The sequence below is a fragment of the Homo sapiens genome, chromosome 10, assembly GCF_000001405.40.
Source record: "Homo sapiens chromosome 10, GRCh38.p14 Primary Assembly".
Classification (NCBI taxonomy): domain Eukaryota; kingdom Metazoa; phylum Chordata; class Mammalia; order Primates; family Hominidae; genus Homo; species Homo sapiens.
Window position 1 is genome coordinate 46,967,551 of NC_000010.11, and position 18,282 is coordinate 46,985,832.

The 18,282-nt window shown below is 38.9% G+C and overlaps 1 protein-coding gene across 93 annotated transcripts in view; it reads left to right on the forward strand.

Annotated features, from left to right (window-relative positions):
- The window catches only part of PTPN20 (protein tyrosine phosphatase non-receptor type 20), a 92,226-nt gene that overhangs the window by 56,123 nt on the left and 17,821 nt on the right, over positions 1 to 18,282 (forward strand). For 21 of the 93 annotated variants that reach the window (NM_001042357.5, NM_001352521.2, NM_001042363.5 and 18 more), the window contains 2 exons: positions 407 to 497; positions 16,680 to 17,014. The exons of 43 other annotated variants lie outside the window; for them this stretch is intronic. In NM_001042357.5, coding sequence (NP_001035816.1) covers positions 407 to 497; positions 16,680 to 17,014 — 426 coding nt within the window. 29 more of the 93 variants (NM_015605.9, NM_001352523.2, NM_001352552.2 and 26 more) reach the window with 11 other exon arrangements.

Genomic DNA, 18,282 nt, shown 5'->3' on the forward strand with positions numbered 1-18,282 from the left:
TTTGTATATATTTTTTGTTTATATGTTTTTGTTGTTGTTATGTTGTTATTTTTATTTATAAAATGATAGATCTGTGGGTAGGTTCTGAGAAATGAATAGCTTGTATTTCCTTTTTTATGAAAGAAGAACAAAATGAAGTTCAAGTGGAAAGTATCTCCAGAAAGTTTAACATTTTCTTATTAACCAACTCATTGATTGGCATGTGAAACTTGAGATATTTTATATAGCACTTTTTAAATGAGGATCTAGCTTCACTTATCATACAACACATTAAATAGCAGGTCATGTCATATAGGGATTTAAGGATCATGAGCACTAAACAAAGGCATATTTTTTTCTTTTTTATTGGTTATAGTAAATACACAATTTATTATTTATTTATTTATTCATTTTTAACCTTTTAAAGGCTTTAGAACTTAAGAATCTGCCTGGTGAGTTCAACTCTGGGAATCAACCAAGCAACAGAGAAAAAAATAGATACCGAGATATTCTTCCATGTAAGCTAAAAATAGTTTTGATTATTTTCCTGTTTACATTTAGAAAAAGTGCAAAGGGCACTGTATGGCTTTTTGTATGAGACATTTTGGCCTGTGACCATGATAAAGGGTTCTGGTACATAGCACTGGGTGATCTGGGCATATTCTAAGATATGTGCTACATATGAGAGAGTCAGGTCCTCTGTTTTCTGGTACATCCTTCAGCCACTGTTACAGGGTCCTTTACAGCAGTCCTTCAGCCTTGTTCTCATATATTGCTGCTTCTCAGAGCATGAGCCTTCCAAAACATAAAATCCAATAGTCTGAGTCATACACCACTTTTGGTACCCGAAGCCTTAACCACCTTCTCTGGCTATTTTGTTTAGACACGCGAAAAAAGAGCTATTTGCATCCTTCATCCTGGACAATAAAGCTGTTAATCTGCTCTCCAACAGGAGGCTGCCTTTTGATTGTCTCCACAGAGCCTTAACATTGCTTCCCTGTGTTGGATGGGAGGGTAGTGGCACCTTCTGTCCTCCTCACTCAGTTACTCTTAGGAGTTATCCATCTCAGGCCATTCAAAGAGCAGAATCAAAACACAGCAATGCAATTTTAATCTTAGGCAGGATATCTCATTCCATAACTCACATTCCTTTCAAAGTCAAAGTTTTTCAAAACTAAATTTACTATTTTACTTCCTCCAACTTGACCCTCTTCTTATATTCTATATCTTATGTAATCACCAAGTTCAAACCAGAAAACAGGGAGTCAGTTGATTCTACCTCCATAATACCTCTGGAGTCCTCCCCCATCTCTCAGTTCCCACTGCTGCTGACTTAGACTGAGCCCATTTTACCTCTCAGCTGGTTACGTTCTTCTTTACTGCCTCCCTTTCTGATCATTCACAAAAGCTACTGAGATTTTCTTAAAATGCAAGTCAGAACATGTAGCTCTTCTTTTAAAGCTCTTTCTTGGCTCTTTGTTACTATCATGGTACAGTTGTTTAACATGGCCTAAGAATTTCACCTGTTTGCCTCTCTAGCCTTAGCTCTCCCACAAAACTTCTTTTGGTATCTAGAATTCATAATTCTTTTCTTATTTGTTGGTTTTTATGCCTCTTAACCTGCAGTTCTTGAAAGAACTACTCATCCCTTCTTTGCTGAGGCAGTTCCTGCTATCTTTCTTAACCAGCTCCAATAGGCTTTTCTTATTTTCCTCAAAGCTAGGTTTGGTGTTTTTCCAGTAGTCTCACAGCATCTTGTAACCACTCTCCCCTTCTACCAAACCATATTTTAATTATTTTCACTTTTGTTTCTCCTACTAGACTTGAGATAGTTATTATAAAAACCAGAGTGGAACACAGTGACTGCGGTCACTAGATAAATACCTTCATGTTTAGTTGGTTTATTAGAATTGAAACTAACTTTATGATGATAAAAAACAAGTACATATCCAACATGGTTAAAATAAGCTATTCTGTTATCTTCTGTGGGGAGAGTGTGGAGAAGTGCATTGATGAATACTTCTGAAATCAGAATAATGAACCATGATTAGACATTTTAATAAATAATACTAATAATTTGTTGCTTCTCCAAAATGTCAAAGGTCCAAATTTTATAATTTCTATTTCTGCATGTGCAGTTTGCCCTCAAGGAGACTAAAAGCAAACATGCCTTAAAAATTAGCCTCTCGGGATTGTAAGAAGCTCATTTTACAATAGAAGGTACACATAATATTTGATCTGACTTGAAGTTTTTATTCTGGATATCAAAAGAGTTACAACTAAGAAATTCAAAGATAATAAAAATAATGTTAAATCATTAAAGTAAGGGAAGTTATGTAAAACTTTTGGCTTTTCATAAAAGAAAAGAAACTATAATTCAACCATATTCTTTTTAAAGGCCCATTGGTATATCTACCTCATAACGCAGTGTAATCTAATCTGAAACTCAGCCAACTTAAGTGGCCATCATAGAAAGCTCTGTGGTTTTTTTAATCACACATTTCTTGACTTTATAGAAAAGGTTCCTGAAGACTCATATTAAGAAAGCTAAAGAAGTAATTTATTTGTCGTCTTCAAATGCTGAGAACACTAAATAGATGAATTCACACACCTTTGAACACTGCAAATATAGGGAACCTTCACTTTGCATGGCCCCAATATGCTCAAATATCAGTTACTGTGTTTAGCTAAATAACACCAGTCCCACAGTACAATTCACATTTTAGTTACCACAATATATTCACTGCAAGTAATTGCCTAAAGTAGTAAGCATCTTTGCTGGCACTTTAGTCCACAAGTCCCTATGTAAATAACAGATGTGCATCATGACCAGTGACTAATAAATGTTACTTCTTTCAAAATATGTCAGTGATAGGTAACTGTGAGCCTCTTATTCAGTTCACACACAGCAAAGCATGTGATTGTATTGTCTCCTTGTCTCTCAATGGTAAACCCCTATGACCTTTTACCAAAATGTATAATCAAGAGAGAGATTTGGCTGAGAGAGATGAAACTGCAATAAAGGGATAAAAAGTGATAATGTTGGAAATGAAATTTGAATGGAGTTATAGAAGAACTAGCTGACCAGGGACATGCTGACACTGCTACTGCTCAAAAGACCCTAGAGCTGCAGCCTAAGGCACCTGTGGAAGGGGAACTTACCGACATGAATGACCAAAGTGCTTGTGAGGAAAAGGATAAAGGCAACCTAGGGGAAGCAATGATGGTAGAAAACTTGACATTAAAGAAACTTTGGAGCTATTTCACAGCAATATAAGTGCCAAGGATAAAAGGTGGAAACTGATCCAGACTTGGAAGTTAGCCTAGACATAGAAAAAATGCTCACTCTGTATTGTAAGTTATACAACAAAAAGAAGAGGCAAACACTGTTCAAACTACTCTGGGTAAGTTTTTTTTTTTTTTTTTAACAAATTAAATGCTTTAATTCCCAATATTTCTAATGTTTTAAATTACAATGTTCTAAATATTAGTCTTGCTATTTTTTGCTTCTCTATATATGTATAGCCAGCAATAAGTGAGTTTTTAATGATTTCACAAAAAATGTTAAGAGCCATGAAACAAGAATAATATTTCCTATTGATTACTAAGATCCTTTTGTGACTGGGCGCGGTGGCTCATGCCTGTAATCCCAGCACTTTGGGAGGCCGAGGCGGGCAGATCAGGAGGTCAGGAGATCAAGACCATCCTGGCTAACACGGTGAAACCCTGTCTCTACTAAAAATACAAAAAAATTAGCTGGGCGTGGTGGAGGCCCCTGTAGTCCCAGCTACTCAGGAGGCTGAGGCAGGAGAATGGCGTGAACTCAGGAGGCAGAGCTTGCAGTGAGCCGAGCTGAGATAGCGCCACTGCACTCCAGCCCCGGGCGACAGAGCAAGACTCCGTCTCAACAACAACAACAACAACAAAGGTCCTTTCGCATGGTTTCAACTTGCATGGTCATATTTATGGCCCTGTACCATCATGCCAAGCAAGAATGGCCTTTATTATGTAGTATAGGAATTTTTAGGTATAAAGACAATATCTTCCATTTCTTTACCATTTCACAACTTACAAAGCAGTTTGAAGGCTAATAAAAGAGCGAGTCACACAGGTTCCCCAACTCCTGGCCTAATATTTTTTCTGTTACTTATCTATCAGGGACCTATTCAGAACTAATCAAGGTAGTGACTTAGGTTTCTGTTAGCTTCTCACTTTTCAGAGCATGCTTATATATTTCTCATTGAGTGTTCTGTATGATCATGTGAGAAGAACAGAGAAGATGATAATATCTAAATTTAATGCAAGACAATAAGGAAGGGATAATCTTTCAACAAATCATCTGGACAGTTGCATATTCATGTACCAAAAATGAACTTTGATTCTTACCTCACAACTTATATAAAAATTAACTCAAAATAGATTATAGACCTATCATTAGAGTTAAAAACATAAAACTTCTGAAAGAAACCCTAGGAGAAAACGTTACTGCCCTTGGCTTTGGCAAATTTTTCCTAAATAGGACACAAAACCCTCAAATTGTAAAAGAAAAAAAATAAATTGGACTTCATCAAATTAAAAAAAAAACCCTGCTCTTCAAAGCATATTATTATAAAACCAAAAAGGAAAGCAACAGGCTAGAAGAAAAATACAGGCAAAACATTTATCTCACAAAAACTTATATTTATAATCTATAATTACTACAAATCAAGAAGAGGACAAATAACCCAACACTAAATGAGCAAAAAATTTGAGCAGACACTTCTCAGGGAAGATATAAGGATGGCAAATAAATGCATGAAATGATATTCACCATTGTAAATCATTAGGAAAATGCAAATTAAAACCATAATGAGATACCATTTTACACTCACTGCAATGAAATGGAATTTGTTTCTAATAAAGTTAAACATGTACCTACCATATGATTTAGCAGTTCTATTCATATGTTTTACCTAAGAGAAATTAAAGCATATGTCTGCATAAAGACTTATATACTAATGTTCATATCAGATTTACTTATAATAGCCAAAAACTGGAAACAGTGCAAATGCCCATCAACGGAAGAGTGAATAAACAAATTGTGGTATGTCTACATAATAGAATGCAACTAGGCAATAAAAAATGACTAACAATGCATTGAACAACATGAATGAATCTTAAAATAATTTTACTCAGTGAAATAAGCCAGTCAAAAGAGTATATACTGTGTGTTATGAGCCAAATTAAATTCTCCCAAAATTTGTATGTTGAAGTTCCAACCCTTTGTACCTCAGAATGTGACCTGATTTGGAGATAGGGCCTTTAAAGTAGTAATTAATATAAAATGAGGTTCTTAGAGTGTGCCCAATCCAATCCATCAGATGTCCTTATATAAAGAAGAAATTGGGACACACAAGAGACATCAGGGATCCAAAGGCACAGAGAAAGGTCCATGTGAAGACACAGCAAGAAGGCAGCCATTGGCAGGCCAAGGAGAGAGGCCTCAGGAAAAACCAAGCCTGCTGCCACCTTGATCTTTGTCTTAGTTTCTTTGTGTTGCTATAGAGGAATAATTTATGAAGGAAAGGGATTTAGTTAGCTCATAGTTCTGCAGACCGGAAGGTTCAAGAGTGGGCATCTGGTGAGGGCTATGGGCTGCTTCCACTCATGGTGGAAAGTGAAGTAAAACCAGCATATGCAGAGATCACATGGTGAGAGAGGAAGCAGGAGAGAAATGGGGAGGTACCAGGCTCTTGCAGAACGAATAGAGTGAGAGCTCACTCCTGCCATTAATCTATTAATGAGGGATGTGCCCTTGTGACTCAAACACCTCCCATTAGGCTCCACTTCCAACATTGGGAATCAAGTTTCAACATGAGGTTTAGAAGGGCCAAACATCTAAATCATAGCATTTTGCCCCCGGCCCTTTAAAACTTATGTTCTTACCACATTGCAAAATACAATTATTCCTTCCCAATAGTCCCTAAAAGTCAACTTGTTTCAGCACCAACTTAAAAGTTCAAAGTCACATCTGAGACTCAAAGTAAGTTCTTTCCAGTTGTAAGCCTGTAAAATCAAAAAAGAGATTATTTACCTCCAAGGTACAATGGTGGTACAGGCACTGGGTAAATGTTTCCATTCCAAAAAGGAAAAATTGGTCAAAAGAAAGGGATAATAGGCCCCATGCAAGTCCAAAACACAGCAGGGCACACTTTAAATCTTAAAGCTCCAAAATAATCTCCTTTGACTCTATCTCCTACATATTGGTCACAGTGGTGTGTGGGGTGGGCTCCCAAGGCCTTGAGTAGCCCTTCCCCCATAGCTTTGCTGGGCGTAGACCACTGGCTGCTTCCATGGGTTGTAATAATGCTGCAGCTTTTTCAGGCTGAGGTGGAATGCTGTGGATAGCTCTACTATTGTGGGGTTCCAGCACCTTTGTGGGTCCACTAAGAGTTGCCCTGGTGGGGACTCTAAGGAAACTCCAACCCAACATTTCCACTAAAGATTGCCTTGGTAGGGGCTCTCTTTGGTGGCTCCACTCCTGCAATAGGCATCTGCCTGCTTTCCCAGGCTTTTTAATATATTCTCTGAAATTTAGGTTAAAGCTGCCAAGCCTCCATGTCCCTTGCATTCTGGATGCCTGCAGACTTAACACCACATGAATGCCACCAAGGCTTACCACTTAGCCCCTCAGGAGCAGTGGCCCAAACCCTACCTGGGGCCATTTGACCCACTGCTGGAGCCAGAGCAGCCAGGATGTGGGGAGCAGCATCCTGAGGTGGCCAAGGGCAGTGGTGCTCCAGGTCTGTCCCCAGAAGGCCTTGGGCCTATTAGGGAAGGGGTGGCCCCAAATATTTCTGAAGTGCCTTTGGGCACTTTTTCCAGACACTCTCTCATATTATTGTCTTTTTCTGAGCCTTCCACACACTTCCAACCTCCGCTCATCGCCCAGTTCCAAAACTGCTTCCACATTTTCAGGTATCTTTATAGCAACACCCCAATTCTCAGTACCAATTTTCTGTCTTATTCCATTTTGTATTGCTATAAAGGAATACTTGGGGCTGGTTAATTTATAAATAAAAGAGGTTTATTTAATTCCCAGTTCTGCTGGCTGGAAGGTTCAAGATTGGGCCTCTAGTGAGGGCTTCAGGCTACTTCCACTCATGGTAGAAGGTGAAGTGGAATCAGCATGTGCAGAGATTACATGGTGAAAGAGGACACAAGAGGGAGAGAGAGAGGTGCCTGGTCCTTTTTAATAATCGGTTTTTGCGGCAGTGAATAGAGTGAGAACTCACTCAACCCTGAGGAAGGGCATCAATCTATTCATGAGTGATTTGTCTCCATGACTCAAAACCTCCCATTAGGCCCCACTTCCAATGTTGGGGATCAGTTTTCAACATAAGGTTTGGAGAGGACAAACATCCAAACCATAACAATACTGGACTTCCAGCCTCCAGAATGTGAAAATAAATTTCAAACCTAGAAAACTAATATACTGTATGCTTCCACATATATAAAATGTTAGAAAATTTAAACTAATTTGTATTGACAGAACGTCTCAGTGGTTGCCTTGGGGCAAGATGAGAGCAAGAAGGATAGATTATAAAGAGGCATGAGGATAGTTTTGCACTGATGGAGATGTTTAATTATCTTTATTGTGGTGGTGGTCTCATGGGTGCACATGTATGACAGTTTTACCTCCATAAACTGTTAAAAAGGTGGTTTGTGAGTGCAAAAGGTATATTACACTTTTAAAAAATTTTCATACACTTCAGCATTATAATATAGATAGATGGGAAAACAAGCTCTTCAAGGCAGAGATTTAACAAGCTTCTTTCTGTACTTCTTGAGGTTGCTCTATGTTTGTTTCTGCTACTACCACCCACTAATAATAATAGTAGTAGTAACACTAATATGTTTATTACTATTGCTTATTACTAATTTAAGTCTGTTATAGGTAGTAATGTTTAATCCCCACAACAACCTACCTCTAAGGTGTCAGTATGTTAGTGTCCTTGTTTACAGAAAGGCTAAAAGAGATAAGTAATTTTCTCACTTTCACACTGCAAATAGGAGAGAGATCTGGGATTCAAACCCAGGCCTAACCACCACTGTATTTATTGTACATTGTTTTCTTTCCTATTTCAAGAAACCTTTTTTTTTTTCTCCTTTTGAGATGGAGTCTCGCTGTCGCCCAGGCTGGAGTGCAGTGGCATAGTCTCAGCTCACCGCACCCTTTGCCTCCTGGGTTCAAGCGATTTTCCTGCCTCAGCCTCCTGAGTAGCTGGGATTACAGGCATGTGCCACCACACCTGGCTAATTTTGTATTTTTAGTAGAGATGGGTTTTCTCCATGTTGGTCAGGCTGGTCTCGAACTCCTGACCTCAGGTGATCCACCCACCTCGGCCTCCCAAAGTGCTGGGATTATAAGCATGAGCCACCGCACAGAGCTGTTTTGTTTCTTTAAGAATCAGAGTCTACTTGGAGTGCAGTAGCATAATCATAGCTCACCGAAACCTCAAACTCCTGAGCTCAAGCAATCCTCCCACCTCAGCTTCCCAAGTAGTTGGGACTATGGGGATGGGCATGTGCCACCATACCCAGCTAATTTTTTATTCATTTATTTTTTTTTTAGAAACAGGGACTCACGCTTTTGCTTAGGCTGGTCTCAAACTCTTGGCTTCAAGTGATCCTTCTGTCTCAGCCTCCCAAGTAGCTGGAATGCCTGGCTCTCGTCATTCTTCTTATAGATATGAAACTATGTTTTGTAGTATTTGTTGCTATTACTTCATTTTCTTTCCCTTTTCCCTTAATTTGAAATCACTGTTCTGATGAATTAATTGTTTGATTGGAGATGGGTATAAGTAGTTGATGCAGTCTCAAGCTCTACTTTTTTTTTTTTTTTTTTTTATCCTGATAAACGAATATCCTTGTTGGTTTTAGGAATCTTGGGTTTTAGTTCTTTTTTTTCTCATTTTTTTTCCCTGAGTGTTACTTCACTGTCCTCTTCCTTCCAGTGTTTTAGATGAGAACTGTAATGGCCATCTGACTCCTTTTCTTCATGAGAAATATGCTCTTTTATTTCAAAATCTTTAACTATTTTCCTGGAATTAAATAATGTTACCAGGTATGCTTCATTTCCATCATTCTTACCTAGACAAATAAACCCTTTAATTGATCTTCCTTTAGTTGTAATTTCTACTCTTCAGTCTACTCTTGTCTTTTTTTTTTTTTTTTTTTAGTTTCTATGAATTTTAGGGTTGCCTCTTGGTTCTATCTTATAAAACCTTTTCTCGTTACTTCTTTTACCTCTGTAGTTTTGCAAGTACTTTCTCTATCTCTCTCTCTCTCTCATTTTTATTCTTATTTTTTTCTTTCACTTGGTTTTATAGGAAACTAATATAAGTTTTTAAAAAATTTCCTCCTTCAAATCATCTACTAAAATTTTTAGCTTGTTTAATGGTTAATTTCATGTGTCAACTAGGCTAGGCTATGATACTCAGCTATTTGGTCAAATATTAGTCTAGATGTTGGTGTGAAGGTATTTTTTAAAAGATGTAATTAACATTTAGATTAGCAGACTTTGAGTAAAGCTGATTAGCCTCCATAACGAGAGTGGGCCTTATTCAGTCAGTTGAAGTCATTAAGAAAAAAACGCTAAAATTTCCAGAGGAAGAAGGAATTCTACCTCCAGACTGCCTTTGCACTCAAGACTACAATGTCAACTTTTCCCTGGGGTCTAACCTGCTGGCCTGCCCTGCAGATATTGACTTGCCAGTCCCCACAATCATGAGTCAGTTCTTTAAAATAAATCTTTCTCACTGTATATATACAGCCTATTGATTCTATTTATCTAGAGAATCTAGAGTAACAGAATTTGGTACTGAGAGCAATTCTAGAGGAACAGAATTTTAAGGATGAGTTTTATGAATTACTTCCCTAATCTGATAAGATGTAAAGGCATTAATGACTTTTCAGTAGTGAATAGAGTATTAATAATTCATAGTGTAATGTGACAGTAGAGATATGCAAAGTATTGCCATTAGGTAATCCTATTCAGACATTTACAAGAAGCAAGGTTCTGGGCATCTGTATTTGATACCTTAGAACATTTTTGAGTTCTCATGAGAACAATGAGATTGGCTAGTTACTCCTAATGTAGAGAAGGAAAGGATGATCTTAGGGATTAAATTTCCCAGCTCAAGTGCCGCATGAATAACCCAAAAGTTTCTCTTTCTGCCCTGAAAGAAACTCTTATATTTTATAACAACAAAGCTGAGATTATTGAAAACCAAACCCAAAATCTCATCCTGAAAATGGCTGAATTACAGTGCAAATTGAATCCCCACCCTTTTAGGGTGTCTGCTGTTAAAATGAGGGCATTAACTGAGAAGGAATGGGATCTTGAAAACTGGAGTGCAGACATATGTGAAGAGCCTTATAAAGCTGGGTGTATCGAACCCCTTGACCCTGATGAGTCTTCCTTGCCAGTAAAAGCAGCCATGCCACCCCCATCTGAGGAGATTAATGCTACTTTACCTGAGGAAACTTTTATTACCTCCCCTGAGTTTGTTGCCTTGCAAGACATTGCTGATTCTTCTCAAGACTCACAGCTACCATCCTTCATTGCTTCTAGACCTATAACTAGACTCAAGTCCCAGCAGGCCCTTAAAGGTAAGGTACAAAGTGTGACCCATGGGGAGGTATGTTACACTACAAAAGAGCTACATGATTTTTCCAATTTATACTGACAGAAATCTGGGAAATATTTGTGGGGAGGGATTTTAAGGGTGTGGGACAATGGTGGAAGGAACTTAGTGTTTGATCAGGCTGAATTTATTGAAATGGGACCACAAAGAAGAGATTCTGGACTTAATATGTGGATTAGGGAGTTAGAAAGAGCTCTTACAGTTTATTTGGTTGGTTGTATTAAATGGACCAAAAGGTGGCCCAGTCTAAATGAAGATAAAATGCCAGAACTGCCTCGATATACTATATACTGTGATCCAAAGGATTAGGGAGATTGGAATATTAGATTAGGTTTATCATTTAAGACCTGCCAACCCACCCCAGGAGGTCCAGAGGATGTACTTTTCTCATAACTGTGAGAAATATATTTGTGAGGTGAGTCCCAGAATCCTTGAAGAATACTGTGATTGTTCTTCTCTGTAGTTCAGATATTGCAGTGGAAATTGCTGCCACTGAGTTGGGAAACCTGAATGCAGTGGGTATAATTGGATCCCAGAGAGATAAGGGCCAGGTGGTGGCACTTGATAGCCAAAGGCAAGGTGAGCATGGTATGGTAATAGCAGAGTCAAAGCAGCAATCAGAACAGTCTGACCTGTAGAGACCTGTGGTGTTGATTAGTTGATCATGGTGTTCCTAGAAGTGAACTAGATGGGACGTCTACTGAATTCTTCCTTGATAGGTGTAAGCAGAAGAGTTCTAGGTCAAGTGAGCAAAATTCTAACCTGAACCATAGGAACAGAGAATCACAACCAGTCAATAACTTCCCAGACTTGAGCCAGTTTACACACAGAGAACACCTTGAATGAAAGGGAGGACCCTGGCACACTGCTAAAAATGTATACTGTTAATCTTTCAGCCTTCTCCAAAGGGATCTATAGCCTTTTGCCAGGGTGACTGTACATTTGGAAAAAGAAAATAGTCAGAACTTTCAGAAACTACTGGACACTGGCTCTGAACTGACACCAATTCCAGGAGACCCAAAACATCACTGTGGTCTACAAATCAAAGCAGGGGCTTATGGAGGTCATATAGTCAATGGAGCTTTAGTTCAAGTTCATTTCACAGTGGACTCAGTAGGTCCCTAAAACCATCTTGTGATTATTTTCCAAGCCCTGGAATGAATAATTGGAATAAACATACTCAGAAACTGGTAGAATCCCCACATTGCTTCTCTGACCTGTGGAGTGAGGAATATTATGGCAGGAAAGGGCCAGTGGAAGCCAGTAGAACTGATTCTACCTAGGAAAATAGTAAAAAAGCAAAAGCAATACTACATTCCTGAAGAGATTGCTGATATTAATGCCTCCATCAAGGACTTTAAGGATGAAGTGATGTTGATATCTATCACATCCCATTCAACTCACCTATATGACCTACACAAAAAAGAGATGGAATTTGGAGAATGACAGTGGATTATTGTAAGCTTCCTCAGATGGTGACTCTAGTTGCAGCTGCTATACCAGATATAGTTTCATTGCCTTAGAAAATCAGCACATCTCTTCATACCTGCTATGTAGCTATTGATCTGGGAAATGCTTTTTTCTCTATACCTATTAATCAAGAACACCAAAAGTAGTTTACTTTCAGCTGGCAGGGCCAACAATACACCCTCACTGTCCTACCTCAGGGGTGTATTAACTCTTCAGCCCTATGTTGTAATTTAGTTCTCAGGGATCTCAATCACCTTTCCCTTCCACAGGATATTACAGAGGTTTATTACATTGATGACATTGTGCTGATTGGATCTAGTGAACAAGAAGTAGCAAATGCTTTAGTCTTATTTGTCTGTCAGAGGGTAGGAGATATATCCAACAAAAATTCAGTGGCCTTCTACTTCAGTGAAATTTCTAGAGGTCCAGTGTTGTGGGACATGTGGAGATAATCATAAGGTGAAGGATAAATTGTATCTGGCTCTTCCTACAAGCAAAAAAGAGGCACAATGGCTAGTGAACCAGGGCGTTTTGGAGGAAACATTCCTTATTTTGATGTGCTACTCTGGTCCATTTACTAAGTGATGTGAAAAGCTGCTAGTTTTGAGTGGGGCCCAAAACAAGAGAAGGCTCTGAAACAGGATCAGTCTGCCATGCAAGCCTCTCTGCCACGTGGGCTGTATGATCTAGCAGATCCAGTGGTGCTTGAAGTGTCATTGGCAGATAAGGGTGCTGTTTGGACCTTTGGCAGACCCCTTTAGATGAATCACAGTGCAGGCACGTAGGATTTTAGAGCAAATTCCTGCCACCCTCTCTGGACTCTCTTTTTGAGAAACAGCTTTTGGCCTGCTACTGGGCCTTGGTAGAGACTGCTTCATAGAGAACTAAGTAGAGAATGCTTAACTATGGGCCACCAAGCCATAAAGTTGGGCATACACAGCAGCACTCCACCATCAAATGAAAGTGGTAGATACAACATTGGGCTTGAGCAGATCCTGAAGGCACAAATAAGTTACACGAAGAAGCTGCCCAAATGCTCACTGTTCCCACCCCTGCTACATTACCTGCTCTCTTCAGCCAGCACCTGTTGTCTCATGAGGAGTTGCCTATGATCAGCTGACAGAAGAAGAGAAGACTTGGACCTGGTCTACAGAAGGTTCTGCGTGATATAAAGGTACCAGCCAGAAGAGGACAGCTATAGCACTACAGCCCCTTTTTTGAGACATCTCTGAAGGACAGTGGTGAAGAGAAATAACTCCCAGTGGGCAGAACATTGGGTAGTGCACTTGGTGCTTTTTGTTTTTTTGTTTTTTGCTTGGAGAAATGGCCAGACGTATAAATGTGTACTGATTCATGGGCTATGTTTAATGGCTTAGCTGGATGGTCAGGGAATTTGAAGGAACATGGTTGGAAAAATTGGTGACAATAAGGTCTGGGGAAGAGGCACGTGAATAGATCTTGCTAGATAGGCACAAACACAAAGATATTTGTATCCCATGTGAATGCTCACCAAAGGTTGATCTCAGCAGGGGCAGACTTTAATAATCAAGTGAATAGAGTGACATGCTCTATGAATATCAGCTAGACTATACCCCCAGTCACCCCTGTCATTGTGTCATTGCCCATAGGTCTCATGAACAAAGTGGCCATAATGGCAGGGATGGAGGTTATGTATGAGCTCAGCAACATGGACTTCCACTCACCAAGGCTGACCTGGCTACAGCTGCTACTGAGTGTCCAATCTGCCAGCAACAGAGACCAACACTGAGTACCTGATGGGCACTATTCCATGGGATGATCAGCCAGCTAGCTGATGGCAGGTTGATTACACTGGGACCACTTCCATAATGCATGGAGCAGTGCTTTTTTCTTACTAGAATAGACAGTAACTCTGGGTATGGATTTGCCTTCCCTGCACACAGTGCTCCCACCAATTTACCATCTGTGGACCTACAGAATGCCTTATCCACCATCATGGTATTCCATACAGCATTGCTGTAATCAAAGAACTCACTTTGTGGCAAATACCTTGTGGCAATGGCCTCATTGCCACTATGTTACCATATTCCTTATCCTCTCAAAGCGGCTGGCTTGACAGAATGGATGAATGGCCTTTTGAAGACTCAATTACAGTGAAAGCTAGGTGGCAGTACCTTGCAGGGCTGGGGTAATGTTCTTCAGGAGATTATACATGCCCCATGTCAGCATCCAATATATGATGCTGTTTCTACCATAGCCAAGATTCAAGAATCAAGGGGTGGAAATGGGAGTGGCACCAGTTGCCATTACCCCTAGTCATCCATTAGCATAATTTTTGCTTCCTGTTCCTGTTCCTGTGGCCTTATGCTCTGCTGGTCTAGGGGTCTTAGTGGCTCTCTTCATTAATGTTGTCTGACACTTAGGCCTTTCTGTCTGCAAACTTGAGTCTTCCTTGATGGACAACAGAGCATGGAATTATTTTTGGACCAGAGTCTAGATTTACCTAGTCTGTGGAGTCTAGAAGATTGCTGCATAATATGGAACAAGTTACTTTGTACAGATTCTTTATTTGAAAAGTATGAATATAATAGCACCTCCCTCAAAGGTTTGTTTTGGAGTTGACAAGGTGATACATGTAGCGTATCATGCTGCTTGAACCTGGTATGCATGTTTCACTGCATTCTGTTAGTACTCCTGCTTCTGTTTAGGGAGCTTTCCTATGATCACTTGAATTATTTCTTTTCTGCAGTGAATTCCACAGTTTGCTTCTGAAATTCGTTTTTTACATTCCCCTTGTATGCGCTGTGTCTTTTACCATTTTAATCATTATTGTAGGTTTTTTTAATCTTTTTTTTCTGAGTTCTGGGAAAATTTTTTAAGCTGATTTTCTAAACATAAATTTGTTTTTCTGTTCAATTCCTGCTTTAGGAGTTTGAGTTGAATGATTGTGACTTTTATATGAAATCAAGCTTTTATTATTTTAGATTATTTAATTTTCACATATTTAATCTCATTTCAAAATTTAAAAAATGCTTTTTTTACTATGAAGTAATTTATATGGTTTAGATACTGTAATAACTACTGCTAACATTGTGATGAACACTTGCCAGGCTTATTATTATTATATGACATATATCATCATATATCTACATAAATATGATGAAAGATCTCCCTACAAAGCCATTGTTATCACCTTTATAATTTAGTAATATAACATATTTGTTAGTAAACATAGGTATAAAGTATTGTTTTAAATAATTAATGCTCTCTTGAATTTTATTTAATATACAAATAGGAGTTTTTAAGGTGTTATCATCTTTTATAGAAAGGAGAATATTTGTTGTGATTTTTTAGAATGGTCTCCCTTTTTGAAATACCGGGTATCTTTATATATCTAGCTTTTTTTTTTTTTTTTTTTTTGTTTGAGATGGAGTCTCACTCATTCTGTCACCCAGGCTGAAGTACAGTGGCGCGGTCTCAGATCACTGCAGCCTCCGCCTCCCTGGTTCAAGCGATTCTCCTGCCTCAGTCTCCTGAGTAACTGGGATTATAGATGTGAGCCACCGCGCCTGGCTGATTTTTTCTGTTCATTCATATTTACAAGGGAAAGTTTCTGTGTGCTATGTTAAAATTTGAGAAGAGTTCTGCCAGATATTATATAAATGCCTGTTCAGGTCTTGTCAGCATATTTACTAGATAAGTGGTCCATGTGATTCTGAGTAGTAAGGAGAGGTTATTGGTGAGAGAGCTGCATGGCAGAGAAGGGCCTCCTTTGCTGTGTGTGTTTCTGCTCTCACTGTGGGGATGGTGGTGGAACCAGAGCTTCAGATGTCTGTGTCAGGTGAAGAAGGAACTCCTGGAGCAGTGAAGGTTAGTAGGCCAAATAGCTGGTTTTCCCTCTCATATTTGTTATAACAGTCCATGTTAGATGAGTCCCATATTACTTGGAGCAATTTCCCTTGGTAGCATCCTTTTGCCACAATATCTTTGCTTTGAATAACATGTCCTATCACCAGATGAAGGCTGAGAATGGACATAAAATATGGCTGTCTAGTTTGGGGACAGTGGTGGAATTCCATTAATCCTAGAATTTGTCTGCAGTCAACTATCAGATTTTTTTTTTCCCCTGGCCCCTGCTGCTCTGGGTTTGCAGGTTTCAGATTTGCAGGATAATATCACTCATTTACTCCCACAAAGAGTTTCTCCTCTGTTGTGTTCAGTTGCAAACTATAGGATACTTCCCTTGACTTAACCTTGCCCATGCCACTTCTAGCAGAAATTTCCAAAAGTACCTGGATGCTAATGATATCATTCTGCATTTATTAAAAACTGATTTGAAAAATAAACATCCCATAATTGTATATTTCTTAGGTCATGCCAATAGTTTTCAGGGAGGAAATAATTTAAACTCATGGACTCAACCATTTTGAAAAGAAACTCCTAGGCCATCTTCTCTATTGGTCAAAGAGATATATGGATTTACATGTGTGAAATCCTTTCGTGAAGTCTGGGTGTGATGTATCTCCCACCTTTATCTACCAGATGTTTCTGTTTCTGTAATAGATGATTCAACACGCGTTCCTCTTGGAAAAAGCAAGGACTACATCAATGCTAGTTATATTAGAATAGTCAATTGTGGAGAAGAGTATTTTTATATCGCTACTCAAGGACCACTGCTGAGCACCATAGATGACTTTTGGCAAATGGTGTTGGAAAATAATTCAAATGTTATTGCCATGATAACCAGAGAGATAGAAGGTGGAATTATCAAATGCTACCATTACTGGCCCATTTCTCTGAAGAAGCCATTGGAATTGAAACACTTCCGTGTATTCCTGGAGAACTACCAGATACTTCAATATTTCATCATTCGAATGTTTCAAGTTGTGGAGAAGTCCGTAAGTTTTTAAACATCAGTATTAGATATATGTTTCACCACATAAGCAGATGTCTTAGAACTAGAAGTTAGGAGTAGGATGGAAAATCGATCGATGATACTTCTTAAGTAACTTTTTACTTGTCCCTGGTACCAGAAGCCACCACCACTTCTACTTCTCCTCAACCAGATTCTGTGGAGAAGAAAAAATTGGAAAAGAGAGGTGGGGCAGGGAGAGTGACTGTTGAAGTTGTCTGATTCTGGGTTATACCTGCCTCTGCCAAATGTAGCAGATACGTATTGAGTCCTTAAAGTATGCTAATCACTGGGCCAGGCACTATCAGTACTTACCGAATAGTGGAGAGGTTGGTTACACTCACTGATAGATACCTAACTTACCGTGTTCAGTGATAATGTTGAGATATGTCTTGGGCACTTTGGGGCTCAGAAGGTAAACACTTGGCTTTACTTGGGGTTTTGAGACAGGTTTACTGGAGGAGGTGGCATTTGTTTTGAGAATTATGCAAATGAAAAAGATGGAGGGAGAAAGTAGATGATCAAAATATAAAATAGCATAAGGTGTGTGTAGAGACAAATATAAGTAGTTAAGTGTTTCTGAAATGTAAAAGTTCAGTGCCAGGGAGTAATAAAAGATGAGATGAGGTTCTCAAAAGTAAGCAGGGGCCAGCTAGAATGTGAAATGTCTTAAATTTCAGCTAAGTAGCATGAACTTTATTATGAAGATAATTGGGAGACATTGAAGAATTTTAGTAAGTGACATGATCAACTACGGCTGTTGGCATGGGGGTGGAAAGCACAGACGCAAGTGTTTTGCAGATAAAATTGGGAGACATATGTGACTTATGACTTATGATTTATAAGTGACAGAGGAGGGGTTGAAAATATATTCAATACAGTAACCACATGTGGATATTTAAGTTTAAATTTAAGTTATTTAAATTTATGTAAAATAACAAATTGAGTTCCTCACCTGCAAGTAGCCACATTTTAGGGCTTATGAGTGGCATGTTGATAGTGGCTACTATATTGCCACTATTTAAGACATTTGCTTCAGTATAGGAAGTTCTGTTGAGAAGCATTGGTCTAGAATAATTCATGGATTCCTTGGTCTAATAGACTTAGAAAACAGAAAAGGAATGGTTTATAGGAGAAAGCAATGAGTTAGATTGCTCTAGTGGATTCAGTTGGCAGGTAGGTGATACATGTGTTAACACGAGTGAAGGGAATAGGAGTTGAACAGGAAACTTGCAGAGAATGGTGAGTTTTGGA